Source organism: Homo sapiens, chromosome 2 (assembly GCF_000001405.40).
Source record: "Homo sapiens chromosome 2, GRCh38.p14 Primary Assembly".
In the NCBI taxonomy this organism is placed as follows: Eukaryota; Metazoa; Chordata; class Mammalia; order Primates; family Hominidae; genus Homo; species Homo sapiens.
The window spans coordinates 40,492,830-40,519,788 of record NC_000002.12 but is presented as its reverse complement, the minus strand read 5'-3'; the positions used below and the strand labels follow the sequence as shown (position 1 = coordinate 40,519,788).

At 35.0% G+C, this 26,959-nt stretch overlaps 1 protein-coding gene and 1 long non-coding RNA gene across 9 annotated transcripts in view; one reads left to right on the top strand and one right to left on the bottom strand.

The window, feature by feature from the left end:
- LOC101929667 (uncharacterized) overlaps nt 1–7,867 on the bottom strand; it is a 46,532-nt gene extending 38,665 nt beyond the window's left edge. For 2 of the 5 annotated variants that reach the window (XR_007086295.1, XR_427021.5), the window contains exon 1: nt 7,702–7,867. This is a non-coding gene — a long non-coding RNA (uncharacterized LOC101929667). Of the gene's footprint in view, nt 1–5,398; nt 5,478–5,954; nt 6,034–7,701 lie in introns of all 5 variants that reach the window. The other 3 variants (XR_939982.3, XR_244991.5, XR_939983.4) reach the window with 3 other exon arrangements.
- The window catches only part of SLC8A1 (solute carrier family 8 member A1), a 415,166-nt gene continuing 395,560 nt past the window's right edge, over nt 7,354–26,959 (top strand). For all 4 annotated transcript variants that reach the window (NM_001112802.2, NM_001372263.2, NM_001394106.1 and 1 more), the window contains exon 1: nt 7,354–7,440. The gene's annotated coding sequence lies outside the window, so the exon portion shown is untranslated. The remainder of the gene's footprint in view (nt 7,441–26,959) is intronic.

Genomic DNA, 26,959 nt, shown 5'->3' with positions numbered 1-26,959 from the left:
GAAATGTATTTTGAGGTTTATAATGTTAATAGATGTAATACATAGAACACCACCACAAAAAAGAGGAAAATGAAATAAAGCTATATATCACTGGAATTAGGCTAGTTTAAATCTAAGGCTAATTTTGATCAGTTAAGATGTATATAGTATATTCTAGAGTAACCACTACAAATTAAGTCAAAAATATAGTGAAAAAATTATTAAAGAAATTAATATGCAACATTAGAAAATGTTCACTTAAAGCAAAAGAAATCCATAGAGAGGAATTGAGACTCAAAAAAGACAACAGACATATAGAAAACAAAAGTAAAATGTAAGATGTAAATTCAAATATATAAATAAAAACATTAAACGTCTGTGAATTAATTCAATCAGAAGGCACAGAGTGTCAGATTGGAGTTTTTTTAATAAAGAAAACATTATCCATGTGTAAGTTTAGAAAAGAAGATATACTTAAAGTATAATAATTTAAAAAAGAAGATATACTTTAGATTCAAAGACACAAATAGGCTACAAGTAAAATGATGGAAATGACATATCTTGCAAACAACAACTGTAGGAAAGCTGGAGTGGTTTTAAAAACTTAGACCAAATAGACTAAACCAGAAAATGTTACTAGAGATAAAGAAAGGCATTTTATAATTATAATGGAGGAGATATCATGACTAAAGCGTACATTGATAAATGCTTAGCTAGACTGACTAAGACAAAAAGAGAGGACTCAAATTGCAAGACTGAGAAATGAAAGAGGGGACATTATTACAGACCTTACAGAAATAAAAAGAATTAAAACAAATACTGTAAACAATTATATGCAAACAAATTAGTTAATTTATATGAAATGGACAGATTCCTAGAAAGATACAAAGAACCTAAACTGACTCAAGAAGAAATAAACAACGTGAATAAACCTATAACAAATTAAAATATTAATTTAGTATTCAAAACCTACCCATTAAGAAAGAGCCAAGGTCCATATTGCTTCACAGATGAATTTATCAATCATTTAAAAAAGAATCAATAGAAATTATTTACAAACTATTACAATAAATATACTGAGAGAGAAGACTTCCCAATGTATTTCATGAAGCCTGTTTTACCTTGATACAAAACGGACAACAAAATCACAAGAAAACTATAGACCAATATGTTTATGAATATGGACAGAAAAACCCTCAATAAGACATTGGCAAACTGAACCCAGAAATATATAAAGATAATTATACAACATGACCAAGTGGGATATATCCCAGAAATGCAAGTTTGGTTTAACATCTTAAAATCAATTAATATATTCTACCATATCAAAAAAAACCCCACATGTTCATCCCAATAGATGCTAAAACAGCATTTGACAAAATTCAACACATTTTTATGATTTAAAAAAGAAGACAAAAAATCTAAACAAACCAGGAATAAAAGGAAATGTCCTCAAAATAATAATGACATATAAGAAAACCTCACAGCTAATTTTATACTTACTGGTGAAAAACTGGATGCTTTCTCCCTAAGTTCAGGAACAAAATAAGGATGTCTGTTTCACCACTTGTATTCAAAATTGCACTACATAGGCCGATTAGCACAAAAAAAGAAATAAAAGAGATCAAGATTGGATAGGAAGAAGTAGCGTTAGGACTATTTGCAGATGGCATGATTTTATGTATAGAAAATTCTAAGAAATCCACCTAAAACTGTTAGTACTAATAAATGAATTTATTAAAGTTGCAGAATACAAAACCAATACACAAAAATCAGTTTTTATTTCTTTACACTTGCAGTGAACAATCTAAACATGAAACAAAGAAAATAATTCCATTCATAACTACATCAAAAAGAATAAAATACCTGGGAATAAATTTAATAAAAGAAGTACGAAACTTATATTCTAAAAAATACAATATATTAAGAAATTAAAGAAGATCTAAATAATGGGAAAAGACCCCATGTTCATAGATCAGAAGACTTAACATTGTTAAGATTATTCCCTAAAATCATCTACAGATTCAACATAATTTCTATCAAAATCCTCGCTGATACTATTTAGAAGTTGACAACCTGGTTCTAAAACTCATATTAAATTTCAAATAACCCCAGATAGCCAACAAATATTGAAACAGAACCAAGTTGAAGGACTCATAGTTCCTGATTTCAAAATTTACTACAAAGCCACGGTAATCAAAACAAATGATACTGGCATAAGGATAGACCTGCAGATCAAAGGAATAGACGTCCATTCAGAATTCCATTCCAGAAATAAACATCCAGAAATAAATTCAACATCTAGAAATAAGCCCATACATCTGTGTTCAATTGATTTTCAACAAGGATAGCAAGTTTATTAAATGCAGAAACGAATAGTCTTCAACTAATGGCATTGGGACAACTAGATATTCATGTGCAGAAGAATGAAGTTGGATTCCTATCTCATATCATACACAAAAACTAACCCCAAATGGATTAGAGACCTAATTGTAAGAGCTAAAATCACAAAACTCTTAGAAGAAAACATAGGAGTAAATATTCATGACCTTCCTTAGCTTTGGCAACAGATTATTGGATAATAATCTGTTGGATTATAATTATTGGATAAGCATGAGCAAAAGAAATAAATAATAGATAAATTGGATTTCACCAAAATTGCAATGGCTACAAGAAAAATAAAAATAAAAACTTTTGTTCTTCAAAGACCAGCATCAGGAAAGTGAAAAAATAATCCACAGAGTGGAAAAAAGTATTTGTAAATCACATATCTGATAAGGGTCTTGTATCAAGACTATATAAAGACATGACTCAATCATAAAAGACAAATAACCTGATTAAAAATCAGCTAAGGATCTTAATAGCCACTTCACTAAGAAAGACGTACACATGGCCAATGAGCCATAAAAAAAAGCTACTTAACATTATTAGTCATTAAAGAAATGCAAATCAAAACCACAATCAGATGCCACTTCAAAGGCACTAGGATAGCAAGTATCAAAAAGATAACAAAGTGTTGGTGAGTATGTGGAGAAATTGAACCCTCCTACACTGCTGATGTGAGTATAAAATGGTGCAGCTGCTTTGGAAAATAATCTGACAGTTTCTCAAATGATTAAACATAGAGTTTCCATATAACTCAACATTTCCACTCCTAGGTATATACCCAAAGAAATAAAAATATATGTCCACACAAAAACTTGTACATGGATGTTTTTAACAGCACTAGTCATAGCAGTCAATAGGCAGAAGCTACTCAGATATTCATTAACAGATGAATGGACAAACAATACAAGGTACATCTGTACAACGAGATTTTATATTCAGCCACAAAGAGGAATGAAGTACTGATGCATGATACAAATGAATGAACTTTGAAAACACTATGCTAAGTGATAGAATCCAGAGATGAAGTGGAAGCCTTGTTTAATCTCTTTTTTTCATTTCTAGTCTTTATATGTTCTCTTTCTGCCCTGAAAGAGAGCCCTGATGATAGATTACCTTTATCCTGGATTCAGCCTCTGAGTCATAATATTAGTAGAAATTAAATTAAAAAAGAAAAATATGCATGGAATTTTTTTACCTGAATTTTTTTCCTTATTGGTTAAATACAATTGTTTTTAATGTTAAAAGAGGGAATAGATATTTCATTACTTATTCACCTTCAAATTCTTTCAAAACTTGCCATATGCCTCAACAAGTCTTTCATCAAAGATTCCCCTCGTATTCTTAGACAAAGGAAGACAAATATTAAATTGCCAAGGATTGAATATTTGTAATCTTTTAAAAGAGTACAATACTTGCCCCTCTCTTTCATACTAAAAATCTGAGTCTGATATCCACTGTAAATGATCTGTCCTAATATAATGGTCCTCTGCCTTGGATAACTGGAAACCTTAGATAATCTGCTCAGTTAAATTGGAATGATATTAATATTTTGTCACACTCTGTTTTCTGTCTCCTTTTAGTTGACAGTTTTTACCCACAGGGCAGTGGGGTACTTGAGATTCTTAAGCCTTATGCAACAGGGAAAGCTGCCAGGCTAATGGTCACTAGTTGAGAGATACAACCAGTTACCCATTTTTCAATCACATTTTTCAATCACTTAGCAATGAATTTAGTTCTTCAACAGTCTTATGTTAAGGTTTGTTTTCTATAGGACAGACACTATAATGGATGCTGATGATACAAAAGCAAATAATACAGAGCCCCTGTCCTTTGGCACTCACAGTCTAATGGCCAAATGCAAAGAGGAGACGGGGTGAATGTACAACAATATGCTGTATATACTTCAGAATACATGATGGTGAGGTCAGTAAAGATTTCAGGAAAGAAGAGACACTGAGCTGAATCTTAAAAGACTGAGGATATGTTCTTCCAGCAGGCAAAGGTGGATTGCATGTACAGTGGTGTACATACTTCTAGGAGGAGGTGGAGTCTATTTCATTGAAAGAATCATCCTCTAAGCCACGGCAAAATAGAATGCCAAGATGACTACATCCTTCCCCACAGAGTTAAGCAAATCAATGTCAATACATTAAATCCTGACTTCCACATTTACGAAGCTCACAGAAAATCATTTAACCTCTTTCTTTGGAGATATGATAGGTCTTTAACCTCTTTATCAGGAGATCTCTTCCTGCTCATGAACCCCACAGCATCCTCCAGAGTTGGGAATGAGTGTCCTGAGCCTTCCTGGTGGTGATGGTGGTATAGTAGTTAGCATGGCTGCTTTCCTGAGCCTTTCATTTTTCTAGGAAAAAGGAAAGCCTAGCCTAGGTGAAGCAGGAAACTGGCCCACTTCCACTGTATACCTCACCAAGAACATGCCAACTCAATCTGACTGACCCAACATGGGCAAATACATTTTGGAATACACAAACACAAACGTCCTCTACCTTGGAAGTTCCTAACTTCAGAACAGAATTCCCAAGAAGTCTGAAATTAAGCCAGTCAAAGTAAGTGTCTGCAAATTCTTCTTTGAACGGAAAGCAGACTCCTGGGCACTGTTATATTTAACTGTGGAGTCACTGCGTGTCCTATGTATCAACCACCTGGCATGTTAAATAAGCAACATCTTCCATTGATGTACTCTCTTACCATGTATGAAGATATATAACATGCATTATTTCATAGGATAACTCTAGGCTAAAGAAGTCAAGTGTTCTCTTGAGTAACAGAGGAGGGAATAGAACTCTATGACATGATCAATGTCACTCAGGTAGTAAGTAACAGAGTCAGATCCAGAGCAGAGCTTTTTGGTTTCTGGGTTCATAATGTAGAATCTACTTTTTGTATTAATTATCGTTTTATTTTTCTCACATGACACAAAGTTTAGAGGGACAATTTACTGTTGCTGTAGTGACTCAATAATACTGGCAAGAACTGCAGTTCTTTCCATCTGCTCCATTTACCTTACCTTGTAGGCCTTTGTCCTTCTGTTTGCCCACTCCTGGTCACCAAATGAGTGCTGCAATTTCAGGCTTCAAGTTTACTCTCTGGGAAGGAAAAAGGTGGAAGGGGTGCAGGAACAAGAGGGGCAAAAGCTGAGCCTGTCCTTTTTTTTTTTTTTAACAAATATGAGCTTTCCTGAAGTCCCACCCAGGGAACTCCTATTGACATCTGTTTGGACAATATTATGTTGCCTTGTCATCTCCAGGTGTGAGGGACAATAGGAAAAAAGGTTTTGCTTTTGAACTTCTAAAGTAGAAAAAGTAAGGGAAGAGAGGGTATTGAATGGCTCCTGGGTAAGCACCCATCTACCATGTCTAGCACTGAGCTGCATTAGGTTGGCTTTTTAAATATCATATCTTAATTTTCATTAGATACAAATTATTATTACATAGAATAATTGGAGGTTCCAAGGAGGAGGTTGGAATATCAGAATATTTTGAATTAAAAAACACAGTCTCATCCCTTCTTGTTCTGACCTAAATGCTTTGGCAGGAAAATTACTCAAATCTAGGAATACTCACATTTGCCATTAATACATCCGTTTTGTACTTCGTGTCTTTTTTTCACACATCTGTTTGTTGTTCTCTTTTCTCTCTTTTCCTTCAATTTTTAATACAAATTTTAAACACACACCGATAAATAGGATAATATAATGAACCCCTATGTACCTATCAACCACCTGCAACAATGAACATTTTACCAGCCTGGTTTTGACTATTCCCTCCTTTTATCCCTCCTGAATATTTTAACAAAACTCATTTCATTTCTGCCACACCAAAATGAGTTATGTCTGTATCTATGCCTCTAATTTATTTTTGCTTCTTCAAACAGAATAACTTACAAGGGTTTTAACATGATTTCGAAAAAAAATCAATGGAAAATTATTATTTTGAAATCCTCTCTTCTCTTTCTCTCTATATTTTGACCTCTTGTTGCACAAGATTAACAAGTTGGAAAAAATGAGAGAAATAAATGTTAAAAATGAGAAGTGAAGTTTCTAAAGAACTGGGGTGTTAAGCAGAGCTTCAGCAACCCCCTAAGGGAGTACTTCTCCACCACGCAGAGCAGAATTTATCCCCCATCTAACATTTAGGTCACAGATATCTGTCATTTAAACTATCCTTGACAATTAACAAATGTAAAAATTAGTATTCTATTCATATTTACATTCTTTAATTTTTTTAAAAAAATTACAAATCTTAAACTATGTTCTAGAAAGTAGTTTAATGGGAACTGCCACAATACGCTATATGAGAAGCTGTTTAAAATAACAGCTTCTTCTCTCTTAGAGATATTGATAACTTTTACCCTCTGCTATCTTTTCCTTGAAGACAAATAATCCAAAATGTTAACCACTATTCCCAGTTAAGTAAATATGTAAAGTACGTAGTTTTTCATTCACATACAGTGTTATTCATCTGTTCAGCCATTCGTTTATAAATTCATTCATTCATTAAACATTTCACAGGTCCCATATACATGCTGTCACTAGAATCTTTAAGGATGAAGACTCTAGTAAGGAACCATAATTGTCTCTCTGTTTTCATAAAGCTAGGCGAACCCACACCCTAAAAGCTTTATGTGGGAATCAGGTAAAAATTGGTTATGATCTAAATATTTGGAGAGTAGAAATGCCAATCTCAAAAGTGTTTTGGAAAAAAAAAAAAAAAAAAAAGCATAGTGACAGGATCATGTGGTGGGAAATGGGCCTGGCTGGAAGAATCGCTATATGTGTATTTTTATCATCCATGTGTTGGATGAAGCAGAGAGCTGCCAGATAGCTTCTTTTCGACAGCTTGGAGTTACTGTTGGGAACAGATCCATGTATGGAAGCGAAAGCCGAAAGGCACAGATAAGCTGAGATCCAGCTATGCAAACCATGTTTAGAGACACTTAAAGGACAAGCATCCCAGGTCCTTTCTTTCTGGTAAATTTAGAGAAGGCATCATACTGGGATCTTTTTTCACATCCAGCCCATGCGGACTGAGCAGCCAAAGCTTGACAGAGGTAGGTGCCGGGCTTTTGTGATGGAACTTCTATAAAGGATCATTTGCAAATATTTCCTCCAGAGCCCTTGATGTCCTTTAAGGGAAGGTGCCAGATAATATTTTGAAAAGAAAAACAAACAAACAAAAAAATAGGTTGGAGCTAGTGACTAAGAGGTATTTAACAGCTCTGCCTCCACAAGACAGGGAAGCTTTGCAACGGAAGGAAAGTGGCAACACAGATTTGCTGCCAAATAAAATCCCTCTGTCCTGGGTCACTTACCATTTGGAATTTTGTGGATACAAGTCTTCCTCGATATTGCCAGCACCTTTAGAAATGAGCCACAGCTTCCGCGGGGTTCTGAGACTCACTGTGTATTTTAGGCTAGGGTAGGTGGGATTTGTCTTTTTCCTTGCTTGTTCTCAAGCCAGCAAAAACTCGCATGTGTGACTAGTTCTTCCTTAGACATAGGAAGAGCTGCTTGTAAACGACATTATTTTTGGCAGCTGAAGTCATTTTTGCAATATTTCTCAGCAGTTCGGAGGTTGATTACATCCTGTTCAAAGATTCTTGGGTTGTTTTCACAAACACGGGGTCTTACGCAAGTTGAAGTTGCTGAAACCAGCTGTGAGCCCTGGGCTTTTCTCAGCACCTTTAAAATTTTGTCTTCTTTCTTTTTTTTCTACTGACTGAAAACTTTGGAACTTGAGAGGAAATGTTTCCAAAGATTATTATCGTTTTGTCATCAGTGATGTTTTGGGAATAGATTGTGGCAGAATATCAAAAATTCTGTGTCTCAGGAATGATGCAAGGTAAAAGTGTGAATATGAACAGAGTAACAACACCAGTATCTATACGACTGTCCTGTATTTTCTAGAATACAGATAAATCCAGCCAAATCATATCAATTGCATTTTGAAATGCGACTCCAGCTAATTACCAAATTGTAGTTATTAAATTAAAGCATATCTGTTAAAATTGTTAGCAAAGTCTGTGAACTCCTGCCAAACACAAAAGTCAAGAGAAAAAATTATAGGTCATATCTTTAAAATATGCATGTTTTGCCAAGATTGAATTAAAAAAATTTACACAAGATAATGGGATTTAAACTCAAGATTTATTTTACTGAGAATAATGTGTCCATAATTCAAATAAGATTTGAACCAATTGTTTTTACTTAGCTAAGTTTTCAATCTAGAGTATGAGTGGGAAAAAAGAAAAGAGAAATGGAGAAATATTGAATGTGACCTTCCTTCTCTGATGACAGACATGACATGGAAAATTATTAATAAGCAAGTGTAAGAAAATAAAAACAATTTGTAATACTGACCAAGGAGATGTTCTCTGGATAAATTAGATGTCTGGGAAAAGCAATTCATTTAACAGATACAGATGAAATGACTACTTATGTGGTGGTTTCTTTCAAGCTCTGAATGTCCCATTACACCAAAAAAGTGGCAGAGAAAGAGGAAATGTGTTTTTATTTCAATAGTGCACTATAATTATTAAAATAATTACAATACTAAGGGATTGTTTCCATCAAATTATTCTTTTATATGCCTATTTACATTGAGAGCACATTAAAATAACATATTTCTATATTTCTAAAATAGGCTATTTTACTTAAAAATACTAATATTCTATATTTGTGAGAGAGTTAGAAAGAGAGAGAGAGAATAAACTATGCCTTCTTTTTTTAAACTAACAGAGACAAGCTGTCATAACTTTTGCTAAAGTGGAACAGGCCTACGAAAAGATGGCTTTAAAATACTTAATTAAACACTATATACCAGCCGGCTTCTCAAAAGAAACAGCACAGCAGGAGTCTTTGCAATTTTCAATATGTAAAAGGTTGACATAAATGATGCCACTAGTGTTTGTGAACAGATGCAATGCATATATGATATCAGCTACTATCTTCTCGTTTGCCTACTGCCAAGTGCATTTCAAGTGTGCACTCCTCATGAGAAATGTCTGCTCCTGTTTTTTCTCTTGAAAACTAATCCAAGAAGCATAATATAAGTAATAGACAATGACTTACTGCTAATTTTGTATATACTATGTCAACATTTGTGGAAGAAAATTCATGACAGTCAAGCTACTTGCCCTTTTATTTCATGACTTCTTAAGCATTTAGTGATGACTATACATCTAGAAAATCTTAAAGAAATCATATTTTGAGAGGAAAATTGAAGGTGTTGGCAGTCTTACGTAAAAAAATAATAAATAAATAAACAAAATGGCGGCCGGGCACGGTGGCTCACGCCTGTAATCCCAGCACTTTGGGAGGCTGAGGAGGGCAGACCATGAGGTCAAGAGATCGAGACCCTCCTGGCCAACATAGTGAAACCCGGTCTCTACTAAAAATACAAAAATTAGCCAGGTGTGGCGGTGCATGCCTGTAATCCCAGCTACTCGGGAGGCTGAGGCAGGAGAATCGCTTGAACCTGGGAGGCGGAGATTGCTGGGAGGCAGAGATTGCTTTGAGCCGAGATCATGCCACTGCACTCCAGCCTGGACGACAGAGTGAGACTGCACCGGAAAAAAAACAAAAAAAAGGCTGTTAATGATCTTGTTATAGTTAGCTGAGGTATGAAGCAAATTCATGGTGGTTAAGTATGATGAAAAAATTTGAAATAATTCCAAATAGCATGGAGCACAGGTTGGAGGCTTCTGTCTACATCATGAGACCTGTCTGGATAGCTGTGGGCCTGGTCTATGGTGTGACAATAACAAGAGGAGGAAGCACTTTTTAGAGGATTCGATGGGGAAGAGTATTTCTGAATGTTGGGAGAGAGTTTGTATGAAAGTAAGAGTAGGAATGTACACTTCCAGAAGCCTGGAAAATTTTGGCCCACAGAAAAGGTCATTATGTTTCAAGGGAAAAGATATCATTGGCAATTCTTAAAAAAAAAAAAAAAAAAAAAAAAAATTCCAAATCCCCTTGATCAGGTGATTAAAAGCTGGGAGACACTGAGTGGTCCCTGACAGAATAGTAAAGATTTTAAGAACGTTAAAAATGACACAAAAGGCCTGAGACTAGGCAAAGGTGCTGGTAAGGAATCTGAAAGCCAGAAAGGCTATAGGATTTCTCCACCTTCAATCATTGGAAGGTGAAGGTTTCCTAGGATCCAGTTCACCTGGTATTCTGATCAGACATGATCTGCCTATGAAGAACCGCTTTCAATTTTTTATCTTAAAGTTACATGACGTTTTCAAGTCTCATGACAAGGTATTGGAAGAAAATTGTATGCCAGAGAATTTTCAATGTAGTTTTAAGGTCTGTGAAGTAATACAAGGGAAACAAATTCAAGAGGCACTTGGTACTGTTGAGGAGAAAATGGCCTCCCTTATCCCATTGATTTATTTCCCTGATATGAGCCGTGGTTATCAACTCTGATTGCACATGAAAATCACGTAGGGTAGGTGATGCCCACATTGTACCCCTGAGGAATTAAATGTTAGTGGGGTCCAGACAAGGGTAATTTAAGTCCATCCCATGAAGTTCTAATGTGAAACCAAGATTAAGAATCATTTCCTTTATGCAATTAAAGAAAAGTGGTTGCCAGTCTAATTTATTTCAGAAGAGGAGTTAACAAAACCACAGCTGAAGATTAGGAAAAAAATGTACTTTCTCCCAGGATAATTTCTTTGGAAGTTTTATCGACGGCATATTCTTTGCTAACAGAATCCTTATTTTAAAAGTTTCAGCATGTTTAAAAGGAAGTTTTCTCTATAATAAAGGATTGATATGTGTCTATTTGATATCTATCATAGTCCTTAGCTTGAATCCATGTGAATGCTACCCACAATTATTGAAAGCTATAAAATATATATATGTGACATTATGGTTCTTAACTACAGATACTAAATGAAATTTTATATTGTTTTAGAAAATCATCAAACAGACATATTGAAAGAGCATGTTAGTTAATTTTGGATAGCAACAATTTTCTAAAACATTGGCAAATTTATTCTAAAAAAGGAAAATCTTTTTTTTAGATTTTTTTTTTTTTTACTTTTACCTTTCTAGGAAGTGTCGAGAACTTCCTAAACTTTTAAAAATGAAATCATACCTTAACAGAAATGATGAGGACGAGGAAATGTCTTGAATCATTTTCTGAACCAGGTGTTTTAGGCAAATGAGAAAGAAGACTCCATTGAATATGTACTCTATTCTGAGCAATGTGTTAGATTCCAATAAATAATAATACACAATAATCATTAGAACTCTAGTTCCTTAATCTGCCCAGCAGCTTGCCTTCTGAGAGACAAAGTGCAATTATATATGAAATGATTCTAAGAACCATTGCCAATTGCAAGCTATTGTTGAATTTAATGCAAAGAAACACAATTCTAACAAACTACTTTTAAATCTTTACTACTTTTATTGCTTCACTTATATAGATAAAATACATTCTATGAAATAAAAACTATTTTTGTTGTTGCAGTTAAAATCCTGAGTTCTAGATTCAGACAAATCTATGTTCAAATCCCAACTATGTTACTTTCTGCCATGCTGGGCAAGTCACCTAAAAACTATCTTGATATGTATGAAGGTTTTACTATTTTCCAAGCACACTTCTAAGCAAATTACAGGTATTAATTTATTAATTCTGACAATTAGCCCTATGAGATAGTCACCCATTTTACAGATGGAAACACTGACACACAGAAAAGTTAAATAATATGCCTAAGATCACACAACTAGTAAAAAGAGGAAGTAGGATTTGAAGGCTGCATTTAAGCTCTGTTCTACACTGCTCCACAGTCATTTCCGTGCCTTTTAAAAATGAAAGCAAATAATAAAATTAATGTGTGAAAGATATTCAGTAGTGTTATGGCAAGGAGTAAGAGCAAAATAATATTATTATTCTCAGATTACAGTCCACTTAGTTTAATAAATAATCACTTGAAAAAGTTTTTGTGAATACCAACTCTATAAAAAATAACATTAAATGCTCTTTATGAACTAACATTTCCAAAGTGTTGAGTAGACATTTTTTGAATGTCAGAGTTAAATTATTATTTTGTGGCCATATTTCATCCTTGTAGTCTCCCTGCCTATCATATTAATCATGTTTCGATCAACGTATGTTGAAATGTTTAACACCCTTCCCTTCACTCTGCAACATTATGTAAGTAAAGACGATTGGAAAATGAGATAAGAATCATTTAAAGGAAAGTTAGTATTATATTGAGGGACCTATCACCCATACGTGCTAAATTTCATTTAATTTTACATTCATTAATCTAAAATGAACAATAAGAAATCCACTCGACAATTAACTTACATTTGCTTATGAGCATATGACCTTTGGAAATTCAACATACAATTTTTACCAATTTTGTGAGTTGTGCATTTAGTTTTGTAAAAGTTATAAAGCAATAATTTTACATATAAGGTGTAGGGAAATTGCTCAGTTGTACTTTTGTAAAAGGGAATGAAATGAAAGCTTACCTCTTTCTTCCTCACATTCTACCAGACATGTGCGGAGGAATAGAGGTCATGTCCACCTTCTAACCCTATTTTCACTCTACCACACATTTAAGAACACTTATTATATCATTTTCCCAGAGATGATTTTGCTATCATTAATATTTAAATATTCTTTTGCTTAAAAAGATAAATATCTACTGCCCTACTACAGGCAGGGGAAAGGAAAAACAACTAATGAGATTAGAGATTTAAACACAAAATTGAATTCCTTCAGGTCCCATAAATCTATAGACCCTGATAGATTACATTTTTTAAAATTATCAACAACCATGTCAACAATAAACTAGAGTAATTTATACAATTATACCTTCCTGAGGAATGTAAAGATTTGGAAGACAAAATAAGAACCCAATATGCTAAAAACCAAATCCCAAAGTTTTGTTATAAAGAAACTAAATTTACATAACATTTATGAATTTAGCTTATGTTCAACAAATGTGTCCCTGAGCCAAGGTAAAAGTCCATGCTCTTTTGGGGAACACAGACTAAATAGATAACCATTCTAAAAAGTATATGCCCCCAAAACTTGTTTTTTCTTCTCAATAATCCATTTGGGTTACCATGCCCAAATTACTGGATAATTGTATCTACTTTTTGAGGAAAGATACAGTAAATATTCATTAAACAGGTGAGAAACAGACCTCCAAAAATTCACCAACGTTGTAAACTTCTAAATCACAGTTTTCAAAATTTGGTTGGAAAAGAATTGTCTTTTCATATCTTTGGTGAAGTAAAGCTTTCCATGGTCAAAAAAAAAAAAAAAAAGGATCTATGAAATATTGCATAAAATGTGTCTCCATCTCAGGTGCCAGAAGGCACACTAACACATGACTAGCTCTGAGAAATTCTGCAGAAGGTAATCTGAGCGCAAGCTTGTTATGTTCAACGATGGTTTAGAAACCAGACAAAGAGTAATTGATTTGGTGTGCTCCCTAACCTCTCAGTACTGAAATTAGGCTAACTCAAGATTAGTCATTTATCTAAGGGAATTAATTTGACATGGACCTATGGTTTTAACATCTGGGACAAGTGATTTAACAAGTCTACATGTGAAAAGAGTGGGATGCCTAACTTACAGAATGCCTATTTAAGCTCCGTTGACATCTTTAACACCAGTACTCCAAATATGTATGCATAGTGATTCTAAAAGTACAGATAAGTCTTCTGAATATTGTTATTGTTGTTTTTGTTGGGGAGTGACAATTGCACAAATCAACTGCTCCCCTTTGACTTATATTCAGCCTACTATAGATGTTTGAGTATTTGTAGGTGTGTATGCATGCACACATTTATTGTGTTTCCGTAGCACCTAGAATTGAGCTCTATGAGCATTTTCCACCAATGTGACTTTTTTATTTTTTTCTATTTTAGTAATTTTTAAAAATGTTTTGTGGGTACATAGTATATATATTTATGGGGTACATGAGATGTTTGGATACAGGCATGCAATGTGAAATAAGCACATCATGGGGAATGGGATATCCATCGCCTCAAGCATCTATCCTTTGAGTTATAAACAATCCCATTAGACTCTTTACAATACTTTAAAATGTACAATTAAATTGTTATTGACTACAGTCACCCTGATGTGCTAGCAAATAGTAGATCTTATTCATTCTTTCTAACTATTTTTGTACCCATTAGCCTTCCCCACATCCCCTAACTACCCTTGCCAGCCTCTGGTAACCATCCTTCTATTCTCTATGTCCATGAGTTCAATTCTTTTGATGTTTAGAAACATCAGAACTAAATAGTACACCATTGTGTATATGTGCCACATTTTCTTTATCCATTCATTTGTTGATAGATGCTTAGGGAGCTTCCAAATCTTAGGTATTATAAGCAGTGCTGCAACAAACATAGGAGTACAGATATCACTTCCATATATTGATATCCTTTTTTGCAGGGTATATAACCAGCAGTGGAATTACTGGATTAAATGTAGCTCAATTCTTAGTTTTTGAGGAACCTCCAAACTGTTCTCCATAGTGGTTGTACTAATTTACATTCCCACCAAGAGTGTACAAAGGGTTCCTTTACACCACATCCTCACCAGCATTTGTTATTGCCTGTCTGTTGTGTAAAAGCCATTTTACCTGGGGTGAGATATCACATTTAGTTTTGATTTGCATTTCTCTGATGATCAGTGGTGTTGAGCACATTTTCATATGCTTGTTTACCATTTGTATGTCTTCTTTTGAGAACTGTCTATTCAAATCTGCTGCCATTTTTAAAAATCTGATTATTAGAATGTATCTCATAGAGTTGTTTGAGCTCCTTATATATTCTGGTTATTAATTCCTTGTCAGATGGGTAATTTGCAAATATTTTTCTCTCATTCTGTGTGTTGCCTCTTCACTTTGTTGATTGTATTATTTGCTGTACAGAAGCTTTTTAAATTGATGTGATCCCATTTATCCATTTTTGCTTTGGTTGCCTGTGCTTGTGGGGTATTGCTCAAGAAATCTTTGCCCAGACCAATGTGCTGGAGATGTTCTTCAAGGTTTTCTTGTAGTAGTTTCATGGTTTGAGGTCTTAGATTTAAGTCTCTAATCCATTTTTATTTGATTGTTGTATTTAGCGAGAGACAGAGGTCCAGTTTCATTCTTCTACATATGGATATTCAGTTTTCCTAGGCCTATTTACTGAAGAGACTGTCTTTTTCCCAGTGTATGTTCTTGGCAACTTTGTAAAACTGAGTTCACTATCTATAGGTGTGTGGATTTGTTTCTGGGTTCTCTATTCTGTTCCATTGGTCTATGTGTCTGTTTTTATGCCAGTAACCTGCTGTTTTATTTACTCTAGCTCTGCATTATAATTTGAAGCCAGGTAATGTGATTCCTCCAGTTTTGTTCTTTTGCTTAGGATAGCTTCAGCTATTCTGGGTCTTTTGTAGTCTCACATAAATTTTAGGACTATTTTTTCTATTTCAGTGAAGAATGTCATCGGCATTTTGATAGGAATTGCATTGACTCTATAGATTGCTTTGGGTAATACAGATATTTTAACAATATTGGTTCTTCCAATCCATGATTATGGATTAATTTTCCATTTTTTGTTGTCCTCTTCAATTCCTTTCATCAATGTTTTATCGTTTTCATTGTAGTAATCTTTCACTTCTTTGGTTAAGTTAATTCCTAGGTATTTAATTTTATGTGTGGCTAATATAAATGGGATTACTTTTTATTTCTTTTTTATATTGTTTCACTGTTGGCATATGGAAATGCTACTAAATTCTGTGTGTTGATTTTGTGTCTTGCAACTTTACTAAATTTGTTTATCAGTTGAATAGCTTTCATGTGGAGTCTTTTGGTTTTTCCAAAACCAGATTGTATCATCGGCAAACAAGGACAGTTTGACTCCTTCCTGTCAAATATGGATGCCCTTTATATCCTTCTGTTGTCTGATTGCTCTAGATAGGACTTCTAGCACTATGTTGAATAAAAAGTACACCAGTGTAATTGTGTGACTATCTCACTATACCAAGTTCATTTAGTAGCTGGAGACATGGTTCTGAAGAACTTAGAGTATGCAAAAACAGGCCGTTGCAAAGCAGCTCGGTGAGAACTATGAGACAGAGTTAATGGCACAGACCAGTAGAGATGTGGGTTGAGGGAGCAGCATATGCAAAGTCTAGAGAAAAGGGAAAATTAAGACAAATTATGGATGGGAAACTAGAAATAGTTCATTATTACAAAAGGTGCTTTGTTGTTTTCTTTTGTTTACTCTTTATTGAGGTATATCATACCTACAGAAACATGTGATTATGCAGCTCAAGGAATTTTCATAAATGGAATTGACCCATATACCCATCAAATAGATCAAGAAACAGAACCATTCTCAGTACTTCAGAAGGCCCCTTTATCCCTCTTTCCAGACCATTTTCCCCTCAAGGATAACCACTAGCCTAATCTCTATTAGGGTTTTGCTATTGCTCGAGCTTTTAGGTATGAGATAGTCAGGAATAAGATTGAAGAGGCGATGATGAGAATCCTGTATATTGCTAATAAGTTGGAACTTTGTTCTGAAATCAGTGGCTGGAGAGTAGGAGGTAAGGGTTCTAACCAGGAATGTGACCAGATCTGTGACATCTTCCTTATATTGCATATGGACTGCTATTTCCTGACCCAAAGTAGATAATTAATGTTTGATGAATAATTAAGTGAATAAATGAGTATTCTTTACTTAATCTGAGTAATGTGTTTATTATTCAAAGTCACATGAAAGTATTTGAATGCTCTAATAAATCTTCACAACTGTACTAAAGGAATAAAAATATTTTTAAAATGCAATTATATTCTTATTGTAAGAACCAATGAGATAAAGTATATGTTTAGTTTTTGTCACCTAGTAATTACTCAATAAATATTAGTTATTATTAGTCACTCAACAAGCATTTATTGCACATCTACTATCTTTCAAACACTATATTTTGGTGTACAAAATGATGACTAAGACACAGCCCTTACCCTCAAATAATTTATTAATGAAATTTGAGAATCTAAAGAAAAGAAAATTGCAGAGGTTGAAAACCAGACCATAGTCCGCAAACCTGAGAGGGAAGATGGAAGTCTGGCTAAATGATTGTGCCTTCTTCAGTGGGTTAGATGAATGACATGAGGAAAGGGAAGCTAAATTGGGAAAATAAACCATGTAGCAATGAGTACAAATTTTTCTAAAGAAAGTTTTGTAGTGACTATAAGTTCAATAGTATTTAGATCCATTTCTAGGATTATATTCACTTTGTTTGCTTTTCTGTCTATATCCATTGGCCTAGAAAGAACCAAATGGAACATATCAGAATCCTGTTGGAGGATTGCTATGGATGCTGGGCAAGGGGAGATTTAAATTCTTGTGAGGATGATGTTAAGACGTCTAGAGATGATGAAAACAGTCTTTGATGCTTCATGGTAAGATCTTGATTGAGGGTGCAGAGTACATCTGAGTAGAGAGATAGAAAGAAAAGTTCCTTTGACACTTTGATTCCCTGGTTATAAGATAATCTGAGACCTGGGACACTCTGCATCCACAGGGAGATGACATATTCTTGTTGTAAAGCTTTTGTCAGGTCCCACATAAGTGGCAAATGAGATGAGGCCTTGGATTGAGATCCCTACTACGTGGGCAAGGGGCAACTCCCAAAAGGACATGATGAAGCACAAACCAAAATAGATGTCCATCCACACATTGAAGTACATGAAAGAAACATTTATCTTCCTTAGTATATTTCCCTATCCGACCAGGAGAATGTACTGGGTGATTTCTAGAAAGCTCCTTTCCTCTAAGTTACTGATTTAGTTACAGATACATTTCCCAAAGAAAGGTAGATTGCATCCATATTCATCAAAAGAAGCATACAGGTCAAAAGAGAGTGCTTGTGAATCAAAATATCCAGAAATAAGGGAGATAAATGAAACTTGACAACATTATTTAAAATGTCAGTCTTTTAAAGTGAGCAAATGTATGCAATTATTTCCTAACTATTTTGCTAATTTACTTGAAGAACTGAAAATAGCAGAAATGTTTTACAAAGAGTACATAAATACAACTTAATGAAGTTTCCAGGGTGTTAATGTCACTGGGGTGTTTGATATATAACTCAAACAATACAGAAAACAAATACAAAGTAAAGAAGGATAAAGAGATAGAGAAGGATAGAGAAAAGAAAGCAGTTTTAGATAAGGTGATCACAGGAAATAAAATTTGAGCAGAAAACTCAATGAAGTAAGGAAACAAGTCATGTGAATAACCGGGGAGATTTCCAGACAGAAAAATGCAGCAAAGGAAAGGCCTTGAAGTAGGAACAACTTGATATGTTTAGGGACAGTAAGCAGCCCCGTGAGAACAGGTAGGAGAGTTTTTCGAACATTACATCAGAGATATAGCCAGCAGCTAAATCACTAGGTCTTTGAGAGCTATAGATTTGGCTGAGGGTCCTAGAAGCCACTGGAGGATTATGAGCTGAGAAATAAATGATCTAGTTTACCTTTGTAAAAGTTCTTCCTGGCTGCAGTAGGCAGGATAGACACTAGAGAGGCAAAAGCCAAAAAAAAAAAAAAAAAAAAAAAAAAAAAGTCAGATGATAATACCTTACCTTATAGGTTCAGTGTCTATGTAATTGATTATCAGAACAATTATATTTTTCAGAGAGAAAGAGGGAGCTATTAATAATGACACTGGATCAACATCAATGAACTGGGAATGTCCCAAGAAAATGGAGACATATGTTTTCCCTAATTAAAAGCCTCTTTTCAAGAATAAATGAATACTTAGTTCAAATAATGGCTGCTAAAATTAATAGTTCCATTTTTTCCCCAAATATTAGATTTATAAGATATTGATGGACCACAGGCTAAAAATAACTTTATGAATGAACAAACTAGCAACTACGGGTTAAACTCAGATAAATTTACTCTAGGGGAATTTATTCTGGAGGAATTATTGGGGCTTTTAATAAGTTAATCTGTCTTGGGAATATTGAAGCCACGGTTATAGTAATGCAGTGTTTCTCAAGGCCATTTGTCCATGGATTTCATTGTTTTAAGAAACAATGAAACACAATATGAGTGGAACTCAATATGAGAAAGGTATGGTCCATAGATAGAGTGGAAAGGATGATGAACATGATTCAAAGATCTGACCCAGAAATTTTAATTAGATTGCTGGGTAGGTAACTCAGAAGTATGAGATACTCCAAATCCTGGGGGTTTTGTTGTTGTTGTTTGTTTGTTTGTTTGTTTTTTAAAAAGTTGGCCAATAAAGATGGTATATATTTAATGTGTACAAGATGATGAATTGTTACATGTGTACACAAACCACAGTCTAGAAACAACAACACACTAATGTAGCTGCTAGTAAAATCTCAAGGTTGTTCTGATCTCGAGATAGAAAGAAGCCTTTTCCCACTTTCTATAAAACATCAAATATTTGCTTTGTGCTTGTGGCTCCATGGACTTCAGTTTATACCCGAGAATATTTTAAATAAAGGCTTATTGCTTCACTGCCCTTATCCTCCAGCAAGGACTTGGGATGAGAGGCAAAGACTGTGTTCCAGAAAAACAGATTCTGACTCGGTTATTGACACAGAAGTCAGAGACATGTATGGAAAATTAAAGTATGAAGACTAGAAGATGAGTTTGGCAATGACAGGAGTGCCTGAGCTGGTCCGATAACCAACCAGAAGATTGTCCTAGGTCCTGGGATGAACACTGTTGCCTGCAGTTGGCTCCCCCCATAAACTCTGATGGGAAGTGTGTGGGCAGACAGCCTCTAGGACAGTTGGGAACTGTCACCAACTCACAGACCCTGGCTTACAAATGACCAATACTTTTTTAAAAGCTTCTTGAAGAATATCTCTCTAATTCTCTTGTTCCTTGGGGAACAACTCACCTTTTGCTCCTGGTAACAGTGGAAGTTGGCACAAAAGCAATTCCTATGTGCCAGACACTTTTCTCAGTGATTTACCTATATTAACTCACTAAATCCTAACAATAACCTTATGAGCTGGATCCTATTATCATCCTCATTTTTAGATGAGGAAAATGAGACAGAAAAATGCTAAAGAAATCTGTCCAAGGTTACACAGCTAATTACAGTAGAGCTAGAAAAGTCTGACTCTAAAGTCAATGTTATCCTCTACTCCACTGTGAGCAAACGCAGCACAGAGATGAACTGAAAAAAGTATCTTCTTTTTGTCCGATACCACTAGTTCCAGTCCTTACGATTATATATAACATGATTCTTCTTCCATGTGACACTCTTTGAAGTCTCCACAGATCAACAATTATTTGTGTTTCTCTCGAATTTTCTCTGTGGCTCCAGTTTCTTTAGTCTATTCTCTTATCATGTAACTGGATTCTGGCTTATATCAGTGCCTGAAGGTTTTTCTTTGAATGTGCTCTTATTTCTATTTTATTATTAATTTAGTTTGTATGTTGAGCGAGTTGACAGCCCCAACTCAGCCAAGAAATAGTTTTTAGGTAATTCTGAGAGCTCAGGTGCAGGATCTTCAGATCCACCCCTATTAAATTTCCTCTATTAAGATTTTTATGGATTCTAAATGTCATCTAGCCTGCTTTCAGTCTTCAACTTTGATATCCATTGAAAATGTAGTGAAAATGGATTTTATATCTTCATCCAATAGTTTGACAAAGTATTTGGACAAAACCAAGGACAGAGCCTTGCAGCACATCACCCACTCACTATTCATCTAGAGTTGGCAATTTTTGAGCACAGTTGTTAGGAAGGATTACATTAAATTGTATTGTTCAGTCCATATTTCTCTATTTGGCCTTAAGTAATTTTATGTAGTTATGTTAAAAATCCCAGTGAAGGTCAGAAACCAACAGCATTTATCTGTCTGATAGGTTTTAGATCCCTAAAGCTTATGAAGTTAGAATGACTTTAATTTGAACATTGAAATTATACTTGCAATCTTGTGGTTCCTATTTCAACCTCTAGAGTCCCTTAAAGACTACTGATTGGTTCAATGTTCTCTTTTAAAAAGCTTTAATACATTGGCATATAATTTACTTTTGCAAAATGTCTGAACAAATTTGGAGCAGCCAGGTACTGTTTTACCATCATGTTTATATTTGACTTTAGTTTCACTTTATTAATGTTTATTGTTCACCGTCCAACCAATATATGCAACTGTCTATTCAGCCCATTTCTGCGGAGTCTAAAGACTCAAATTTAACATGTTGTGATTTAAACTGATCATCTTTACTATCCACCTGACTGACCTTTCTGATTTATCTAACTCTTTGGTTAACTGTAAACTGAAAATCAGCTTAGATCCCCTTTTTTACTTAAGTGTCCACAACACACCAAATCAGTCCCAAAATCCAATAGTTCATACCTCCTGAATGTCTCTCATATCCATTACCATCTGCCTCTTATATTACATAAGTTATTGCAATAGCATGCTAAGAGATATCCTACCTCCACCCTGGCTGCTCCCTACTATTCCCCACGTTGTTGCCAAAGTGATTTGCTAAAACACAAGTTTTATCAAGCACACCCACAGGTAAAAATCTTTCAATAAATCCCTATAACTCTCAGGATAAAATTCAAATTCATTAACTTAATACCAAAGACCCTTGAAATTGTAGTTCTGCCAGTTATTATCAATTGCTAGTAGCCCTAAGTTTGTCTCTCACTGTCTCCCCATAAGCACCCTTTGTCCCAGTTATTCCAAACTACTTATGATTCACTGAACTAGTCAGAGTGGCTCAGATCTCCATTTCCTAACATATTTAATACCTTCTTTCTTGAGTGCTTTTTTCCCTCCTTTTTCACTTGATGAACCCTCAATAGAGCTTTAAAGAACCATTCTTTCTGTGAGGCTCAACTCCCCCTTACCCAATACTGATTTATATTTTCCCTTTCTGCTCCCACTGCCCCCTGTGGATATCTCTGTAATGGTACTTAATATTGTCAACATGTATTTTTCTATCTCCTCATTAGACTCTAAGTGCCTTGAGGGTGTATATCAATCTTACTTATCTTGATATACTCAGGACTTGACACAGTGTCTGACACACAGTGGGTATGCTTGATAAATCTTTATTGAATACCAAAGCTAATAAGTCAAAATAATCTCATTGGATGAGAAACTAGAAGAAAATGGATGCTTAGAAGTTAATTTTTTCTTTTGTATTTCACATGCCCCAAGCAGGAGGTCTTTCCCTTCTTTATTTAACTCCATGCTGTTAAACTAATTTTAATAATCCTATTTTTTCTTTGCATTCTAAAGTCCACCTGACTACTAAATTCTAAACAGATTTTTTTTTTATTGTACTTTAAGTTTTAGGGTACATGTGCACATTGTGCAGGTTAGTTACATATGTATACATGTGCCATGCTGGTGCGCTGCACCCACTAACTCGTCATCTAGCATTAGGTATATCTCCCAATGCTATCCCTCCCCCCTCCCCCCACCCCACCACAGTCCCCAGAGTGTGATATTCCCCTTCCTGTGTCCATGTGATCTCATTGTTCAATTCCCACCTATGAGTGAGAATATGCGGTGTTTGGTTTTTTGTTCTTGCGGTAGTTTACTGAGAATGATGAAATTGGAAATCATCTAAACAGATTTTTTAACATTACTCATGCACATTTTGAAGGATATGTAGGCTGTGGGTGAGTAACTGCAAAATATGCAGTCTATTTATTGTAAGGACTATACAAACTCATCAATCTCAAAAACTGTCAATTTTACCAGGCTCAAAGTGAGGGGACATTCACAGACGAGAAAGTAATTCGGATCTTTCTCTTTTAATTGAATACCCTGCTTGTAATGATTTCATCTTCTAATATGCACAAATATCCTCAGAATAACCTTTTAAAAGTCAAGCTCTGGTTTATCTGGTTATCAAGGGCAAAATCCACACATGGTGCCACTGAGAAGCTTCCATTAGCATTTTTAGCAACATTATTCAGATCTTGATCCAACTGTTTGAAATACGTGCCATACAGCCATGCTGTCTTTTCAGATAGTTCTGAAATCCTTTTGAATAATACTTTTCCAAATGAATTTTAATCAGATAACCTCAGGCACTGCTTGATTCCTCCACCCATTTGGATCTGGAAACTTGTCCCAGTTTTCCAGTGTGCACGGGCAGACATGCCAAGTAAATCTAGCCAAGTAATCTGTTTATTTAGAGCAGTGTGAACATCCCAAAGGTACCAGAGTCATATGCTCAGATGGCATCTGAAGTTTGATTTGGGCTTTGTATTCTTGCATTTATTAGAGTCAAAATGTTTCCTGACAGTGAGCAGGCAATGATAATGAGTGGGCACCTCATAACTGCTGAAAGAGTTTTCCAAAGAACACTTCAAATGGAGCCCCTGAATGAGTCTGTTTTATTTATCTAAATAGATTAGACCGATAGATAAATGATTGATAGACAGATAGATAATTTTTTGTTGCCTGAGAATCACATAATTTCTGGCATCTACCAACTGAATCATTGACAGTTCTTTATGACGAAGCCTAATCCTATCAATAAAGAAGGTAATTCTTTAAATGGGGGTCACTTTCAGTGCCTGGAGACTGCAAGCAAAACTACAGTACTCAGAATCCTGAGTCCTGGCTACAAGTTCCAATCCTGTCACAAGACATGTAAATTCAGTCATTGATCTTCTCCATACCTCTGTTTTTCCTGTAGAATGAGGAGACTGGGCTTTATAACCACTGGAATGACCTCTTATTATAAAGTTCACTATCAACAGTTGTGCAAGATAATAGATTGGTAGATTTTGTCACGAAGTTCTCATTGTTCGTGTTGATTTTTAACTCACCAACAGATACATCTGTGACTTGCTCCTACACACATTTTTCCCTGATATTCCTTATCAATTTTACTTAAATTGTCCTAGTCATTCTCATCTGATGAAAACATAAGGAGGCATAATTGAAGAAGAAGAAAAAAACACTCTAAGAGTTTGTCCTGAACTCGGATCCTTCGCTTTCCTCCTACATTTTTAATATGGTATACACTTTCCTCATAAAACACTTTTGCTTTCAGGCATAGAGAGATTAATAACAACAATAATTAGTATGACTCCATTTGTTGACCTACTACATTATAAGCAAAATAGCCAGAATTTAAATGTATCCCCTGACACTAAAATCTACACTCATTCCATGATGTCTTGTGACTCAGATAATCATATATTCATAATGATTTTTGTTATCATGAACACAAGAAATCATGCATCAACTGAGACATCTTTTAACTTTTATTTACCTGTAGGGCTTATGTTAAAAGTACACAGACTACAAAGTTGACAAACCCAGTACCAAACCTCACCTCCCAGCAGTATGATTTTTTTGGGTACCAAACCTTACCTCCCAGAAGCATGATTTTTTTTACTTCAATCTTTGCTTCAGTTTTTTCATTTGTAAATTTATGATAATAATAAAAATATCACTAGGTTTAGGGTTATAGGGGCAAATAAGAGAGTAGATGAGAAAGCATATAAACACGGTACATGATAAAGTGTTGTTCCTCAGTTCCTTAGAAATATAACTAAGATCATCCAACAGGTAGAAGCACTTGCTTCAAATGCCAGCTCTGCCAATAGCTGACAGAAATTACATCCATTAATGAATGATATAAATATTTCTGAGCATGAGCAAAAGAAAAAATGGAACAAAACAATATCTAGCTTCCATTTGGATATATATATATATATATATATATATATATATATATATATATATTATACTTTAAGTTCTAGGGTACATGTACACAACGTGCAGGTTTGTTACATATGTATATGTGTGTGACCATTCCTCAGGGATCTAGAACTAGAAATACCATTTGAACCAGCCATCCCATTACTGGGTATATACCCAAAGGAATATAAATCATCCTGCTATAAAGACACATGCACACGTATGTTTATTGCGGCACTACTCACAATAGCAAAGACTTGGAACCAACCCAAATGTCCAACAATGATAGACTGGATTAAGAAAATGTGGCACATATACACCATTTGGTTTTAAATGTTTATCATTTATTTAATCTCAAGAGCAATCTCTCATGTTTGTGTTTCCTCTTTGGAAGCCAGAGTTTATTTTTAATGATTGCACTAAACAGGGTTTTCTTAAAAGCTATTGGATTGAGGAGAAAATAATGTCCAGGTAGCTGAAAGCAATTACAAGAGTGATAGGGGAGTCACCACATGGAAGTGGGACAGCCAGACCTGTCAGAGTTTATTATTATGATTATTATTATTATTACAAAATGCAGGTCAAATGATTCAAATATTTTATTGTAGTGATTGCAGAGGCCTGTAAAGGAGAGAAAGCACACACTTTCAGGTAGATAAGGAAAAAAAAAAGTTTATCCAAGTTGTATTAATATTTGAAGAAGGAAATGATGTCAAGTGAAGGAGAATGAAAGAAGAAAAGATAAAAAGGAAGGAAGGAAAGGAAAAAAGAGGAGAGGAGAGGAAAGGAAAGGAATGTTGGGGAGAGAAAAAGAAAGAGGAAAACCCATTACAAAGATGGAACATAGCTACTGACTGGTTGTCAATAGACATAGATGGTGGCACACGCCTCTAATCCCAGCTACTCAGGAGGCTGAGGCAGGAGAATTGCTTGAATCTGGGAGGCAGAGGTTGCAGTGAGTTGAGATCGTGCCACTGCACTCCAGCCTGGGAAACAGAGCAAGACTCTGTCGTGGAAAAAAAAAAAAAAAAAAAATACTGAGGAAAGATTTCCGGATTGTAATAGAGGGAGAAGTGTGGTTTAGGCTTGGTTTCCCAACTCCCAAGTTTTGTGATCTTTGTAAATTTATTTACACTTTCTGAACCTAAGCTTCTTTTTTTTTAAATTTTATTTTATTTTATTTTATTTTATTATACTTTAAGTTTTAGGGTACATGTGCACAATGTGCAGGTTAGTTACATATGTATAAGTGTGCCATGCTGGTGTGCTGCACACACTAACTCGTCATTTAGCACTAGGTATATCTCCTAAAGCTATCCCTCCCCCCTCCCCCCCACCCCACAACAGTCCCCAGAGAGTGATGTTCCCCTTCCTGTGTCCATGTGTTCTCATTGTTCAATTCCCACCTATGAGTGAGAATATGCGGTGTTTGGTTTTTTGTTCTTCCAATAGTTTACTGAGAATGATGATTTCCAATTCCATCCATGTCCCTACGAAGGACAGGAACTCATCATTTTTTACAGCTGCATAGTATTCCATGGTGTTTATGTGCCACATTTTCTTAATTCAGTCTATTATTGTTGGACATTTGGATTGGTTCCAAGTCTTTGCTATTGTGAATAGTGCCACAATAAACATGAGTGTTCATGTGTCTTTATAGCAGCATGATTTATAGTCCTTTGGGTATATACCCAGTAATGGGATGGCTGGACCAAATGGTATTTCTAGTTCTAGATCCCTGAGGAATGGCCACACTGACTTCCACAATGGTTGAACTAGTTTACAGTCCCACCAAGAGTGTAAAAGTGTTCCTATTTCTCCACATCTTCTCCAGCACCTGTTGTTTCCTGACTTTT